The sequence below is a fragment of the Homo sapiens genome, chromosome 14 (assembly GCF_000001405.40).
Source record: "Homo sapiens chromosome 14, GRCh38.p14 Primary Assembly".
NCBI classification, from domain to species: domain Eukaryota; kingdom Metazoa; phylum Chordata; class Mammalia; order Primates; family Hominidae; genus Homo; species Homo sapiens.
The window spans coordinates 77,605,080-77,619,882 of record NC_000014.9 but is presented as its reverse complement, the minus strand read 5'-3'; the positions used below and the strand labels follow the sequence as shown (position 1 = coordinate 77,619,882).

At 43.4% G+C, this 14,803-nt stretch overlaps 1 protein-coding gene across 2 annotated transcripts in view, besides 11 other annotated features; it reads left to right on the top strand.

Annotated features, from left to right (window-relative positions):
- Positions 2,820-2,879: a silencer, noted in NCBI's record as "silent region_5978". NCBI's record gives its function as "represses an Ori minimal core promoter by ATAC-STARR-seq in GM12878 lymphoblastoid cells {active_cell/tissue: GM12878}" and the evidence as "EXISTENCE:reporter gene assay evidence [ECO:0000049][PMID:35858748]".
- Positions 2,919-3,451: an enhancer, noted in NCBI's record as "NANOG-H3K27ac hESC enhancer chr14:78082775-78083307 (GRCh37/hg19 assembly coordinates)". NCBI's record gives its function as "activates a minimal SCP1, AML or CMV promoter by ChIP-STARR-seq in naive H9 embryonic stem cells {active_cell/tissue: H9 hESC(naive)}" and the evidence as "EXISTENCE:reporter gene assay evidence [ECO:0000049][PMID:30033119]".
- Positions 2,919-3,599: a biological region, named in NCBI's record as "NANOG-H3K27ac hESC enhancer GRCh37_chr14:78082775-78083307".
- Positions 3,210-3,259: a silencer, noted in NCBI's record as "silent region_5977". NCBI's record gives its function as "represses an Ori minimal core promoter by ATAC-STARR-seq in GM12878 lymphoblastoid cells {active_cell/tissue: GM12878}" and the evidence as "EXISTENCE:reporter gene assay evidence [ECO:0000049][PMID:35858748]".
- SPTLC2 (serine palmitoyltransferase long chain base subunit 2) overlaps positions 3,246-14,803 on the top strand; it is a 110,641-nt gene continuing 99,083 nt past the window's right edge. For both annotated transcript variants that reach the window (NM_004863.4, XM_011537384.3), the window contains exon 1: positions 3,246-3,435. In NM_004863.4, coding sequence (NP_004854.1) covers positions 3,304-3,435 — 132 coding nt within the window. In that variant the 5' untranslated portion in view covers positions 3,246-3,303. The remainder of the gene's footprint in view (positions 3,436-14,803) is intronic.
- Positions 3,400-3,599: a silencer, noted in NCBI's record as "silent region_5976". NCBI's record gives its function as "represses an Ori minimal core promoter by ATAC-STARR-seq in GM12878 lymphoblastoid cells {active_cell/tissue: GM12878}" and the evidence as "EXISTENCE:reporter gene assay evidence [ECO:0000049][PMID:35858748]".
- Positions 3,780-3,989: an enhancer, noted in NCBI's record as "active region_8808". NCBI's record gives its function as "activates an Ori minimal core promoter by ATAC-STARR-seq in GM12878 lymphoblastoid cells {active_cell/tissue: GM12878}" and the evidence as "EXISTENCE:reporter gene assay evidence [ECO:0000049][PMID:35858748]".
- Positions 11,356-11,855: an enhancer, noted in NCBI's record as "H3K27ac hESC enhancer chr14:78074371-78074870 (GRCh37/hg19 assembly coordinates)". NCBI's record gives its function as "activates a minimal SCP1, AML or CMV promoter by ChIP-STARR-seq in naive H9 embryonic stem cells {active_cell/tissue: H9 hESC(naive)}" and the evidence as "EXISTENCE:reporter gene assay evidence [ECO:0000049][PMID:30033119]".
- Positions 11,856-12,357: an enhancer, noted in NCBI's record as "H3K27ac hESC enhancer chr14:78073869-78074370 (GRCh37/hg19 assembly coordinates)". NCBI's record gives its function as "activates a minimal SCP1, AML or CMV promoter by ChIP-STARR-seq in naive H9 embryonic stem cells {active_cell/tissue: H9 hESC(naive)}" and the evidence as "EXISTENCE:reporter gene assay evidence [ECO:0000049][PMID:30033119]".
- Positions 11,909-11,968: an enhancer, noted in NCBI's record as "active region_8807". NCBI's record gives its function as "activates an Ori minimal core promoter by ATAC-STARR-seq in GM12878 lymphoblastoid cells {active_cell/tissue: GM12878}" and the evidence as "EXISTENCE:reporter gene assay evidence [ECO:0000049][PMID:35858748]".
- Positions 11,989-12,078: an enhancer, noted in NCBI's record as "active region_8806". NCBI's record gives its function as "activates an Ori minimal core promoter by ATAC-STARR-seq in GM12878 lymphoblastoid cells {active_cell/tissue: GM12878}" and the evidence as "EXISTENCE:reporter gene assay evidence [ECO:0000049][PMID:35858748]".
- Positions 13,172-13,671: an enhancer, noted in NCBI's record as "H3K4me1 hESC enhancer chr14:78072555-78073054 (GRCh37/hg19 assembly coordinates)". NCBI's record gives its function as "activates a minimal SCP1, AML or CMV promoter by ChIP-STARR-seq in primed H9 embryonic stem cells {active_cell/tissue: H9 hESC(primed)}" and the evidence as "EXISTENCE:reporter gene assay evidence [ECO:0000049][PMID:30033119]".

Here is a 14,803-nt window from a genome sequence, read left to right as displayed (position 1 = left end):
ATAAGTTTTTTAAAATTGGCTTATGTTATCTGCAACCAAAGAACCTCAATTAACACAGTCTCCATGTGATAGAAGGTTCCTTGGAGACAAGGCCAAAATTTTTTTTTTTTTTTTTTTTTGAGACAGAGTCTCTCTCTGTCACCCAGGCTAAAGTGCAGTGGCACAATCTCGGCTCACTGTAACCTCTGCCTCCCAAGTTCAAGCAAGTCTTGTGCCTCAGCCTCCAAGTAGCTGAGATTACAGGCATGTGCCACTACGCCCGGCTAATTTTTGTATTTTCTGGAGAGACGGGGTTTCACCATGTTGGTCAGGCTGGTCTCGAACTCCTGGCCTCACGTGATCCATCTACCTCGGCCTCCCAAAGTGCTGAGATTACAAGTGTGAGCCACCATGTCCAGCCAAGGCCAAATTTTAATTCATTTATCCATTTATGCATTCATCAAACATTTATTGAGCATTTGCTATGTGACAGACACGTGGTAGGTACTGGGAACCCAAAGATAAATTAGACAATCCCCTCAACTCACCAAGCTTGTTGCCTAATTGTAAGTATAAATGTATTCAATCAATCATTCATTCACTTAATAAGTACTTCATTTATCCAATGAATAATTACCAACACTCATTTAATATTATGTAACAGGTCTTGGCACTAAATGCTTTTGTTAATTCTCCAACTCTATGAGGTATATCCCATTTTACAGAAGAAGTACCTGAGTCATAGAGAGGTTAGGCAGCTTTGCCTAAATCATAAGGATTCTAGGTGCTGAAACCGGTCTTCAATTATGGTATATCTGACTGCAGAGCTCTTGCTTCTAAGCATTGTGTAACCTCCCTCTCAAAGAATCTCAAAGCAGTGTGATACATGCTTACACAGGTGTGTATAAAGCTCACAGAGGAGAAAGCAACTAATTTTGTGGGGAGGTTGGGGTTCAAAACAGGCTTCACAGTTGAAGTGGTTTGAGCAATCTTGAAGGAAGAGAAGGGTTGTCTTCCTGGTGCCTAGCACAGAACTTTGCATATGAACACTGTAAAATGATGATTAAGCGGCTTATGTTTCTGGAAGGAGTTGTTTTCCTGTTTACATGGAGTCTGGGGTGTTTCCTACTGCCTACTGCAGCATCATTTTTGTGATTTAGCAATGGCATGTGAAGTAATCAGATCATCTGTATATCACTGATGCTCACAGAAGCCTGTAAGGTAAGTAGTACAGGTACACACTTTGTAAGATGAGTGAGGAAACCAGGGCTGAGTTTGCATTACTTGTCCAAGACTATACATAGTGAGTAAGTGGCGGAACAAGACAAGGGGCCAGCCCCCTGAGGAGGGATCGGCTAACAGGACTCCTCAAATCTAGCCAGACTCCTTTACTCCTCTTAGCCTGCAGGTGAGGCTTTGATCTTTCTAGACTCGACACCCGAGTTTCTGAAGGTTTCCTCAGAACACCCTCCCCATCCTTCTCAGTTCCAGCTCTCCAAGTCCCGCTCATCTTCCAAGATCTGTCTCATTGCACATCTTCCTCGCAAGCCTTCTCCAGAGTCATTCAGCTCACTCCCTAAGCTTCAGTTAAATCCCTTAGCCCTGCTTCCATCCAGATTCCTGCCCTGAAAACTTTCTACCTGGTTAGACTCATCACTGCCATTCAGCTTCCCTCATCAGAACTCCTGTTGCCTAATCTCTCCAGCCTTAGGTTGGTCTTTAACTATTGTTTTCTTTCTATGTGTATATCTTGTCTCTCACTGAAATGTAAGCTCCATGAAGCACAGCCACATGTTTCCTTTTTAGCCTTATACATACAGATGTATATTCACTTTGGGATCAATAGTGTTTGTCAACTCAAATAGGATGTGTGGGATGAATGATCCCACCTTCTGTTAGATTATTCAGCTCCTAAGTCATGCAAAACCAATACCTTGTGGACCTCCTTTCTAAAGCTCCTGCAGGGTGGGGAAAGAATGCACGGATTCTCATAGGTGCATTTAGCAATTACTAGTAACCAACACTTAATGAATGCTTACTAATTGCTAGGTCCTGTACAAAATACATTACATACATAAACTTATTCAATCTTCACGACAACTATTATTGTCCCCACTGAACAGATGAAGACACATAGAGGTCACTCAGCTAGTAAGTGGCGCAGCTAGGATTTAAAACCCAGACCGACTCCAGAGTCCATACTCTCAATTATGATACTAAATTCTTTATGGATAACAGAAAGTCTCTAATTGTAATGTAGATCAATTTCCTTGCTTTCTAACCCCATGGGAAGATGGAACTAAAAGGGTGAGAAAATAATATTTATTATACTCCTACTATAAGCCTAGTATTATAAGAGGTGCATAATGGGTTAATGATATAATTCTTGCTGTAAGTCTATGAAGCAGGAAGTATTAACTCCATTTTAAAGAATTTGGCTTCTAAAGTGGTTAAACACAGTGCTCAAGTTTTAGCTTCCAGTTATTGGCAGAGTTGGAATTAGACCAGGTTTTCTAACTTTGAAGGAAAGACTTAATTTAAAGGAGACTGTATAGAAAACCCTGCCAAGGGCAAATGTGAAGGGCACGTGAAAAGGCATCTGAATTATTACTTATAATAATTCAGAAATAGTGAATGTGTGGCGCATATTGAAGAATGATGAGAGATTGTCAAAAAATCTATTCTATAAACACTCACAGAGGAATCAGCTAATTAAATAAGCGAGCTGCCTGTCTTGGGCTAGGACATAAACTCCAAAACTTCCCACGAGGCAAGGGCAAAGAGGGCGCCACCTGTCCTGGAGAACCTGGGAACCCGCTCTAGAGACTTCGGCTCAGCCCCTTTTATTTCCTCACACTCTAATTGGCTACTTTTCCCTGGGCTCCGCCTCCTCCTCGGTCTGGACCATTAAACAGGCAAGCCCTACCCCGGACCTGGATGCGGCCTCCAATCAGGTGCCAGGCCCTGGAGTCCCTCTAGAGAAGCCCCCTCTCCACCGGCGAGGCGCTTTGCTCTCGTCCGTGATTGGCCAGGCAGCAGCATGGGGTCCGCCTCCTTCTCTTCCAGATTGGTCAGCGGTCCTCAGGACCACATCCCTCTCGGCAGGTCCCCGCCGCTTTTTCCCTTCGCTGCGTGGCCTTGGCCGAGACCGGTCCTCTGCGGAGAGGGCCCCGCCCTCTGTGAAGGCCCGCCCGGGAATTGGCGGCGGCGCTGCAGCCATTTCCGGTTTCGGGGAGGTGGGTGGGGTGCGGAGCGGGACTTGGAGCAGCCGCCGCCGCTGCCACCGCCTACAGAGCCTGCCTTGCGCCTGGTGCTGCCAGGAAGATGCGGCCGGAGCCCGGAGGCTGCTGCTGCCGCCGCACGGTGCGGGCGAATGGCTGCGTGGCGAACGGGGAAGTACGGAACGGGTACGTGAGGAGCAGCGCTGCAGCCGCAGCCGCAGCCGCCGCCGGCCAGGTACGAGGGGCCCGCGCGGCGGGGCCGGGGTGGCGGTGTGGACTGGCGGAGGGGCGGCCGGGCGGGGCGAGGTCTCCGGGCCATCCGCTGGGCAATCCGCGGGGCGGGCGCCGTTCGCAGGTGTGGGCGGCAGTGTCCGGCCGCTGGCCCGACCTCCACGAGCCTGGAGGCTCAAGGACGGCTCGGGGGCTCCCCACCTCTCCGCGCCTGGAGGTCTTACTCCCGGAGCTCTGGGTTCTGCTCAGAGCTCCGGGTACTTTTCTCTGCCCCATTCTGCCAGAAGTGTGTGCTGTCCCCAGGGGAAGCGATGAGGGGCCCTTCGGACTCCAGTGGGAGCCGCCCAAGGGCTCCGGAGGGTCCCTTCTCAAACCCCTGAGGTTATTGCTTCCTTTTAAAGTCCTGCAGTCGTCCAAAGAAAACCACCCATGGGGTCCTTAAGAAGCAAAGAAAATTAGGCGGTGGTGTCAGATGGAAACACACCCAGCCTCTCCCAACCACATTCTGGACTACCACGTTCAGTCCCCAACCAGGACATTGGTCCATAGATCTGGCAGGGAATCCAAGCTGGTCCCTCGAAAGCATCATTCTCTTAACTCTGCCGGTGGTGAGACTCTACCCCAGGCTCCAGGTTGGATTAGGTGGCCCCTTCGACCCTTTCCTGAACACGAGTGCTATCACACAAGGGGATTGTTTAGCCTGGTGGTGACTTGCGATGACTCTATACTAATTAACCATGCTGAATCATCAACCAAGTTCAGGCAGTTCTAAAATATTTTGAAAAGTTCTAAATTCAAGACAATGCTTATTATCAACCTTACAGTGGTCTGGACTGACAGATATTCTGTTGAAATGTGTTTTTAAAGATGAGCTGGTTAAAAAGATGCAAGATCGGTGTTCCTGGAAGAGAGTGTTGCGATAATTTTGCAGTTGACTTTAATACGTTTAAGTCTTGTACAGATATTAAGGAACGCTTAGAAAGTACTCTGTTTCCCTTTAGCGGGAGTGTGACTGTTGCAGTTTGATAGGATGGTGATCTTAATTTGGCTTTAACATAACTACTCCCCAGATGAGTAGTTATGATGGATAGGTCTGTTACTGTTTGCTGCGAAGCAGAAAATAAAGCATTTTTCCAGGTCATGTTGAGATATTGAGACTGAGTTGAGGGGAAAAATAAGTAAAGCAGACTTGACCTCCCCTGAAGTTGTAAGGTGTCAAAGCGAAGTAATACACAGATCAAAAGATTTGTTTTCACTTTTAAAGAAATAATTGTGTGAGGGAGGAAGTGATAACAGTCAGCTCATTATAAGCAGTGGAATAGTTTGTCGTTTTCCTAGCAATGTAAACGACTTATAAGACAAAATTGTTGTGGTATAGAATGTAATAGGGAAATTTAACGGGTAGGAGTTAGAAAATACATTTGCAGGTGAATTTCATTGAGGTATGATTTTTTTTTTGTTTTTGTTTTTGTTTTTTTTTTTCAGACAGTTTTGCTCTTGTCACCCAGGCTGGAGTGCAATGGCGCGATCTCGGCTCACTGCAGCCTCCACCCCCTGGGTTCAAGCGATTCTCCTGCCCCAGCCTCCCGAGTAGCTGGGATTACAGGCGCCCGTCATCACGCCCGGCTAAATTTTGTATTTTTATTAGAGATGGGGTTTCACCATGTTGGCCAGGTTGGTCTCGAACTCCTGACCTCAGGTGATTGGCCTGCCTTGGCCTCCAAAAGTGCTGGGATTACAGGCGCACCAGGCCGAGGTATGATTTTTTTTGTTTTTTTGGTTTTTTTTGAGATGGAGTCTCGCTCTGTCGCCCAGGCTGGAGTGCAGTGGCGCGATCTCGGCTCACTGCAAGCTCTACCTCCCAGGTTCACGCCATTCTCCTGCCTCAGCCTCCCAAGTAGCTGGGCCTACAGGCACCCGCCACCACGCCCGGCTAATTTTTTGTATTTTTAGTAGATACGGGGTTTCACTGTGTTAGCCAGGATGGTCTTGATTTCCTGACCTCGTGATCCGCCTGCCTCGGCCTCCCAGAGTGCTGGGATTACGGGTGTGAGCCACTGCACCTGGCCGGTATGATTTTTTAAAATGAAAAAGGAAGTCAAGAGAAAGGTGTTCACACTTCAGCGTTGCTTTGTGTTCAAATGCTTCTTTCAATCCCTATGAGTTATGTTCAGATTTAGTAGGAAATCAAGGACCTTTCTCCCATAATCTCTAACAATTTAGCATTTATAGAATGATATTTCTTCAGAGCTTGCCAACTAATAAGGTGAAGAAATATCAAGGTACTAACATGACATTTTAAAATCTGTATGAATAACATTTGGTTGACTTTTGGGGACATGTTTTGTAAAAGTTTCACTCAAGGCACATTGGTGGCATTTGGAAGAACGGTCTGTTGGAATGCTGTGAGGGCTGCAGTATCCCTTCTAGAAAACTACTTCTCACCAGTATTTTTAATACAGACTTCAGATCTGGAGCTTTCTACACTCTCAGATGGAGGAATATTGTCTGTGAATATTTTTCTTTCTTATACAAAAGAGAGATCTTGGTAACTACATGAGAGCAATACAATATCTTAACATTTTTTAAAAGTTGTTTTCATTTTTAATTAAAGCGATGTGCTTGTGCTCCAACCTCTACCTATCTTTCCCCTCTTTCTGGGGGGGAAATGTTGCCAACTGTGCCATCAAAAATACGCATACAGCTGTGTGTCATGCTTTTACTAAAATATGAATTTAGAGTATAACATTGTTGAGATGTAAATTCTTTTCCTCACATCTCCCACCATGTCTTTTAATGAACAGGAGAGAAGTCAGAAACGTCTAGGATCACTTTACACTCTCAAGAGTATGTTTCTGTGCTTGAAGAGATGAATGAATGTGTATAGTAAAAGAACAACTCTTGGATTTGGGTTTAGAATTTGATGAGCTAGATGCTGTGTTAAGGAGTTATGAAACAATCACACATTGCTGTTTAGTGATGACAGTAGACACACAGTTTTCACAATAGTAACAGTTGAACAATAGAGCAGTAATTTTTCCTCTCTGCTATTCAGATGAGTGGGAGGAGCACAAACCTTTATTTGAGGTAAGGTGTGGCAATTTGCCCGAGGGAAACTTTTACATTAGCATTGGAAAGAACCTTTGGGAGTTTATTTAATTCAGTCCTTTATCTCTTTGTAGGAGTTTATTAAAATCAGTCTTGATAGAAAATTCTGTACTGTTTTTAAAGATCTCCAGGGGATTTGCAGCAAGTTTTTCTCTATAGCAAATTGGATTATTATTCCATGATCTTAATTACCAAATTTCTTCCTGTGGATTTAACATTTGATGAAATAAATGCCATGTTTTGGTTGCACCTGAAATATAGTAGTTTGTTTGTGTGTTTGTTTTTAAAACTTCACGTTAACAGCTCTTTTTAAAAGAGCTTCCATTTCTTTATAGAAGTTTTGAGATTTAGGTTTTCCTTTTACTTTCCTGAGTTAGTTAATAAGTGTGAAAGAAAAAAAGTTATCTACCTTTGAGACAGTTTTGACCCTAACTTTTTTCCCTTTGGGTGTAGTTTTAATGAGATATTAGAAGGATGAGAGCTCTCTGGCTTACAGAATAAAAAATTCTATCTCAAGGAATTGGGGCAAAAGTTGTGTTCTTATGTTAAATAATAAGCAAAGTAGAAAGAACAAAGTGTTAGTCTTGCTTCTTAGGAGGAGGCAAATAAATAACTAATAAAGCTGGTTTACTAAATAGCTACTAGCTTTTGTTTCCACTGAGGGAGAAACAGTAACTGGGGGTTTATATGTGATAGTTAAGGAAAAGGAGACGATAGTTATGAGGCTAGAACAGTAGAAATAGTTAGAATAGTCATATATCTATTTAGATTTAGCAGATCCTGATAAGATACCTCAGATACCTGAAGGCTTTTCAGAAATAATGTAATTTACAACTTGGAGGACAAGATTTTCATTTCAGTTTTCACTCTAAGGGGAAGCATATCTTGATTCTTACATAGCTGCATCTGAAGAATTCCAGAGTTATTTGAGATACTCAGGAATTTTCTTTAACAGGAATTCTTGGGAAATGTGTAAGCAGCTATGTTCTTAAGATAGTATTTTAGAACTAGGATGTTCAGAAAAGTCAGACTTGCCCACTTTTTAGGGTTTGCCCATGTGCCATAGAAATTTGCACCGCTTTGAGCAAGACAGTTAATTGGTTGATTTAATTAGATTCAGTTTTTGGAAGAAAGAAGCAGTGTTTATTGGTAGAATAGGCAATTCAGAGGGATGGGTAGAGGCACTGTTTGCATTCTGAGTGGGTGTGCCATACTTGATTAAATAAATGGTTTGTGGACTCAAAGTCAGTTCCCTTCTGGGTAGTTTCTGAGAAGCTTCTGTAATATAATTCACAATTTGTGACCGATAAAAAAGTAAGTCCTTTGCTCTTGACCCATTTACTGTTAGAAAATTTATCTTAAGTTTGTCTTTAAGACTACTTTTTATTGCAAAGCTTGAGGCAGCTATTCTTCCTTTTTTAAAAAAATAATTTTTACTTCTCATTATAGAAATAATACATGTTTAATGTGGGATCATAAAACATTGAGATAATCTCTGCGTTAGGTTTTTTTTTTTTTGAGACGGAGTCTCACTCTGTCGCCCAGGCTGGAGTGCAGTGGCGCCATCTCAGTTCACTGCAGCCTCCACCTCCCGGGTTCAAGCGATTCTCCAGCCTCAGCCTCCTGAGTAGCTGGGATTACAGGCATGCGCCACCACGCCTGGCTGATTTTTGCATTTGTAGTAGAGACAAGGTTTCACAGTGTTGGCCAGGCTGGTCTCGAACTCCTGACCTCAGGTGATCCACCTGCCTCCGCCTCCCAAAGTGCTGGGATTACAGGCGTGAGCCACCACGCCTAGCCGGAGGTTTGTTTTTTAATGTGGTCTATTGTAAATCCATCTGCTACTTTCCGTTAATTTCTTTTCTTTCTTTTTTTTTTTTTTTTTGGCGAGATAGGGTCTCGCTCCAGCCTGGCCTGCAGTAGCACAGTCATAGCTTACTGCGGCCTCAACTTCTCGGGCTCAAGCGATCCTCCCATCTCAGCCTCCCAAGTAGCTGGGTCCACAGGTGTGCACCACTACAGTGGGCTAATTTTTTTTTTTGAGACAGAGTCTTGCTCTGTCACCCAGGCTGGAGTGCAGTGGCGCGATCTTGGCTCACTGCAAGCTCTACTTCCCAGGTTCACACCATTCTCCTGCCTCAGCCTCCCGAGTAGCTGGGACTACAGGTGCTCACCAACACACCCGGCTAATTTTTTTTTTTTTTTTGTATTTTTAGTAGAGACAGGGTTTCCCCATGTTAGCCAGGATGGTCTCGCTCTCCTGACCTTGTAATCCGCCTGCCTCAGTCTCCCAAAGTGCTGGAATTACAGGCTTGAGCCACCATGCCTGGCCTTTTTTTTTTTTTTTTTTTGTAGAGATGGGTCTTACTATGTTCCCCAGGCTAGTCTCTTTTTTACTTAAACAAACAAACAAAAATAAATAAAAATATATATATATAAAGAGAGAGGGAGACAGAGAGAGAGGGAGACAGAGTCTCACTATGTTGCCCAGGCTGATCTCAAACTGTTGGGTACAATCGATCCTCCTGCCTTGGCCTCCTGAAGTGCTGAGATTATAGGTGTGAGCCACCGCACCCAGCCACCCAGGCTGGTCTCAGACTCCTGACCACAAGCATCCTCCTGCTTCAGCCTACCAAAGTGCTGGGATTACAGCCACTGTAGCAGACTATTTTGTGATAATTTCTAAGTACAGTGAAATATGCGGTTGTACTGATACTATGGGTGTGATCCAGTCTTACTCCAAAAAATAGGTATTAAGGGCTGGGCACAGTGGCTCATACCTGTAATCCCAGCACTAAGGGAAGCCAAGGTGTAAGGATTGCTTGAGCCCAGGAGTTCAAGATCAGCCTGGGCAACGTGGCGAGACCCCATCTCTATTTAATTAAAAAATAATAAGGTATATGACCAGGTACCGTGGCTCACGCCTGTAATCCCAGCACTTTGGGAAGCCGAGATGGGCGGATCACTTGAGGTCAGGAGTTTGAGACCAGCCTGGCCAACATGGTGAAACCCCGTCTCTACTAAAAATGTAAAAATTAGCCGGGTGTGGTGGTGTGTGCCTATAATCCCAGCTACTCTGGGAGTCTGAGGTAGTAGAATCGCTTGAACCCAGGAGGTGGAAGTTGCAGTGAGCCAAGATGGTGCCACTGCACTTCAGCTTGGGCGACAGTGAGACTCTGTCTCAACAAAACAAAACAAAACAAAACCTCAGTTAGATACCATTTCACACCACTAGGATTGCTAAAATAATAAACCAGGTATTAAGTGTTCATGAGGATATAGAGAAATTAGAATCCTGATACATTGCTGGTGGGATTATAAAATGATGCAGCCACTTTAGGAAACAGTTAAACATAGAGTTAGCATGTGGCCCAGTAATTCTACTCCCAAGAAAAATGAAACATATGTTCCTGCAGAAACTTGTATATTAATTATAATAGCAGCATTGTTGATTGATTGATTGATTGATTCAGGGTGTTACTGTTACCCAGGCTGGCAGGACATGGCTCACCGCAGCCTCCACCTCCTGGGCTCAATCAATCCTCCCACCTCAGCCTCCCAAGTATCTGGGACTGCAGGCATATGCCACCATGAGTGGCAAAATTTTTTTTTTTTTGAGACAGAGTCTCACTCCGTTGCCCAGGCTGGGGTGCAGTGTGGCTCACTGCAACCTCCACCCCACTGGTTCAAGCAGTTCTCCTGCCTCCGCCTTCCGAGTAGCTGGGACTACAGGCACATGCCACCACGCCCAGCTAATTTTTTATATTTTTAGTAGAGATGGGGTTTCACCATGTTGGTCAGGCTGGTCTCAGACTCCTGACCTAAGTGATCCATCCGCTTCGGACTTCCAAAGTGCTGGAATTACAGGCGTGAACCACTGTGTCTAGCCCCACGTTATTTATAATAGCCAAAAAGTAGAAACAATCCAAATGTCTATCAACTGATGAGTAGATAAAATATGGTATATCCATATAAAAGGATATTATTCAGCAATACTACTGAAGGAATGCAGTACTAATACATGCAGGAGAATACTACATTGTTTATGGCCATGTGTTTATATAGTGAAAGTATTTAAAAATACAGGGGAATGATAAACACCAAATTCCCAATTCTTCTGAGGAGGAAAGGAAATATAGCATTTCCCCAGGACAGACTTCTTAAAAGGATTGGAGAACTACTTAAACATGTCAGATCTTGACACTGTCCTGATGGCCTCCTGTCACTAATAACAGAATACAAAATGGGGTTTACAAGGCCCACCATGAACTTTCCCATCCCTCTCTGACTTCATATCCTGCCAGGTCACTGCTTTCTAGCCAATCCGGGCTTTCTGATGTTCCCCAAACACATTGCCATCAAGCACCCCTCCCTGGGGCCTTATTATTATTATTATTATTATTATTATTATTATTATTATTATTTTGAGATGGAGCCTCAATCTGTCACCCAGGCTGGAGTGCAGTGATGTGATCTCGGCTCACTGCAACCTCCGCCTCCAAGTTCAAATGATTCTCCTGTCTCAGCCTCCCAAAGTGCTGGAATTACAGGCGTGACCTACCACGCCTGGGGTCCCTGGGGCTTTAGCCTTTACAGTTACCTCAGCCTGGAAAGCTTTTTCACAGAGTTCTCTTCCCTACTCCAAGTCCATCTGCTTACACCTTACCTCCACCCTGTTTAAAATGCTCTTTTTCCACGATTTTATTCTGATTGTAGCAGTGTGATCTGATACAGTATATCTATTTGCTTATCTGTTGTCTGCCTCTCTCACAGGAGTGTATTTCTAGTGCTCAGATCATGCCTAGCTCATAGCAGGGACTCAATAAGTATTGAATGAATAACTTTAATGTTTTATTTAATGGAAAAAAGATCTAAAGCATATAAGCTAAATCTTAAGTTTTGATAAAGCTAGATGTTGAATACAGTTTTATTTCTATTTTTTTGATGATAATTACTGTGTCATATTTCATACATACTCTGCTGGTTGACAAAAACTAGCTCCCTAAAATAATGTTACAGACATAAGTAAGAAATGGATTGTGGTGACACATAAGCTGTTAAAGAAACCCGTAGCCTAATTTATAGTGTATCAGGTTTGCAAGTGGTTTAAAACAATAGCGGTTTACTGAATGTTCTTACTAGCGTGAGGGGAGAGCTTGTGAGAAGTAGGAAGAGGCCAGAGAAGGTCCTGGGGTCTGGCACACTCTGATATGCTTCATCACCTCTCCCTAAGCTCTCCCTACAGGGCAGTGGGGCCAGTGGTGACTTTTGCGGCACCCTCTCCATTGTCTTACCAAGGGCTTCAGCTGTGAGACGCCGGTTGGTGCTACAAGGAAGGGGAAACGTGTCAGCTCTTTCCTCTGCTCTTTTCTCACATTGATTTCAAATGCCAAGAAGCTGGGCTGAGAAACCGGGCTTGTGATCCTGGTTGTACTGCAGTCCACCATGTGCTGGAGAGCTCTGCAGGTTGTGCTAAAGGGTAGTGTCTTTATTGCCTCCTGTATAAGCTTGACTTTTACATAGGCAAGCAGGTTATTTCCAGGACAACTAAATTAGTTGGTGCGAAACCTCATTTCCTAGAAACCCATTTTCTTAGTAGAGGAAACCCATATAACCATTTGTCTCCATGTAAGTGTAGCTAATAACATGAATAACAAAAATAGCTAATTATTTAAATAGCAAAAATAAGTATGGAAGATGAATTTGCAGTAAAATTCTAATATTAAGCCACTGATTATTTTAAAACAATCAGATTAAGTTGTAGTACCTCTGAAATAATTAAAGGAAAATTTGATTCTTAGAAAATCTCAATTCATTGGAAAGCCATGGAATTAATAAAATAAAAAAAGAAAATCTCAGGCAATATAAACTAAGGAATGGCAAATGGAAAATGTATTGATTGGTGGAAAAGTAATTGCGGTTTTTGACATTGAAAGTAATTACTTTTGCCATTACTTTTAATGGCGGAAACCATTTAATGGCAATTACTTTTGCACCAACCTATAAATAATTGGACTCTAGTTCCAACTTTGATATTTAGCTTTCCCATGACTGTTGACAAATTGCTTAATCTACTTTCCTTGATTTTGTCAGTCAAATGAGGAGGAAGAGACAGCTTGAGAAACATTTGTAAGAGAAATGCTTATTACTTTGTATGTGTTTTTCGTCTTACATATTAAATATAAATTCCTTTAGGTGATATTCTTTAAAATGATTTCCTTACTTCCTTTTATATTTACATCCATTTTCTCTTAAAAAAACAAACAAACAAAATACTGCACAATTCTTGAAGACAAGGATTACCTCTTACCTCTTATTTGTTTCATGAAATATAGAGTACAATTTTTTTTTTTTTTGAGATGGGTCTTGTTCTATCACCCAGGCTGGAGTGCAGTGGCGCCATCATGGCTCACTGCAGCTTCAACCTTCTGGGCTCAGGAGATCCTCCTATCTCAGCCTCCCCAGTAGCTGGGACTACATTCATGCACCACCACATCCGGCTAACTTTTGAAAATGTTGTGTAGAGATAGGGTTTCACTATGTTGTCCAGGCTGGTTTTAAACTCCTGGGTCCAAGCAATCCTCCCGCCTTGGCCTCCCAAAGTGTTGGGATTACAGGCGTGAGCTCCTGTGCCCAGCCTAGAGTACAGTTCTTGACATATAGATAGAAATTAAGTATTTGTAGAATGAGTGGAAAAAAAAATGAAATGATTATGTTGATTTTGAGTTTCTCGGTGGAATAGGGCTTTGGATTCCTAGAAGAGACTTTAATGTTGAAAAATTATTTTTGTAGTTTTGAAAATGTTAAAAAATTGAACATGAGAAATCTCCACTTCTCTGGGCATGTGAAATTAAAGGGAGGGATGATCAAGTTGTGAGAGATTCCCTAGGCCAGCAGTGCTGATGCAAGAAGGTGAACATGTAGACTGCTGTATTCTGTACACACACACACACACACACACACACACACAGTCCCCTCCCTCCTGGGAAAGCAAAAGTTGTTGTTGTTTTTTGAGACAGAGTCTCGCTCTGTTGCCCAGGCTGGAGTGCAGTGGCACGCGGTTTTGGCTCACTGCAACCTTTGCCTCCTGGGTTCAAGCGGCTCTCCTGCCTCAGCCTCCCCAGTAGCTGGGATTATGGGCGTGCGCCACCATGCCTGGCAAATTTTTGTATTTTCAGTAGAGAGAGGGTTTCACCATGTTGGTCAGGCTGGTCTCGAAGTCCTGACCTCATGATCAGCCTGCCTCGGCCTCCCAAAATGCTGGAACTACAGACGTGAGCCACTGCGCCAGGCAGCAGAAGTTTTTGACGATTTCTAGACAATGTGTGTAAAGACCTTTAGAGTCTAAAGTTAATGTTTGCATTTTGCAGTCTTAGGCAGATACAATGAGGTATAAAACACCTCTATCCAAACAACTGAGTTGGACTGGGCTGAAGATTTAAGTCCTTCAGTTCGGTGTAGTATCCCAAGAGTGGGATCCGTTGTATGTTTGTTACAGGCCACTCCCTCTAGCTTTATCTGCTAAGCACTGTGAGATTGTGCTTAATTTCACTTTGGTTTTCTAGTTCAGGCCTCCAGCCTGGAGGTGAATGTCCTGTGTAGAAAACTGGCCATAAATTTAGGGCTGTTATGAAATTTAGTCTGTCATGCCAACCCATATAGCTGTCATAAGTTCTGCTGGTTTTTCTTTCTCTTGATGGAGTTCTGCCTATGGCAAGCCCCAGTTATCATCACTCACGCTAAAGCTCTACAAGTACCACAAGTAGAGAGAGGAAATGGCTGGCACTTTCAGCTCACCTAGAGAGGCCTCTTCTCCCTCTGGAATTTTAATTCTGCTAGTCCTCTTTGCTATGCATAGAAGACAGCTCTTCAATCTTTAAAGCCATTTATTTATTTGAATAATCTATTTAGTTTTATCTAGTTGTTACTGTGAAAGCACTAGCTTGCCTCTCTCTATTAAAGCTAACCTGGAAGTCTCATTATTTTTTGAATTTTTGTTGCCACAAACATGACATAAGAATAAGTTTGTTCTGGGCCAGGCATGGTGGCTTATGCCTGCAATTCCAGCACTTTGGAAGGCCAAACTGGGAGGATTCCTTGAGGCCAGGAGTTCAAGACCAGCCTGGGCAACATAGGGAAACCTCATCTAAAAAAAAAAAAAAATTAACCAGGTATGGTGGCGGGCACTTGTATAGTCTCAGCTACTCTGGAGGCTGAAGTGAGAGGATTACATGAGCCCAGGAGTTTGAGGTTACAGTGAGCTA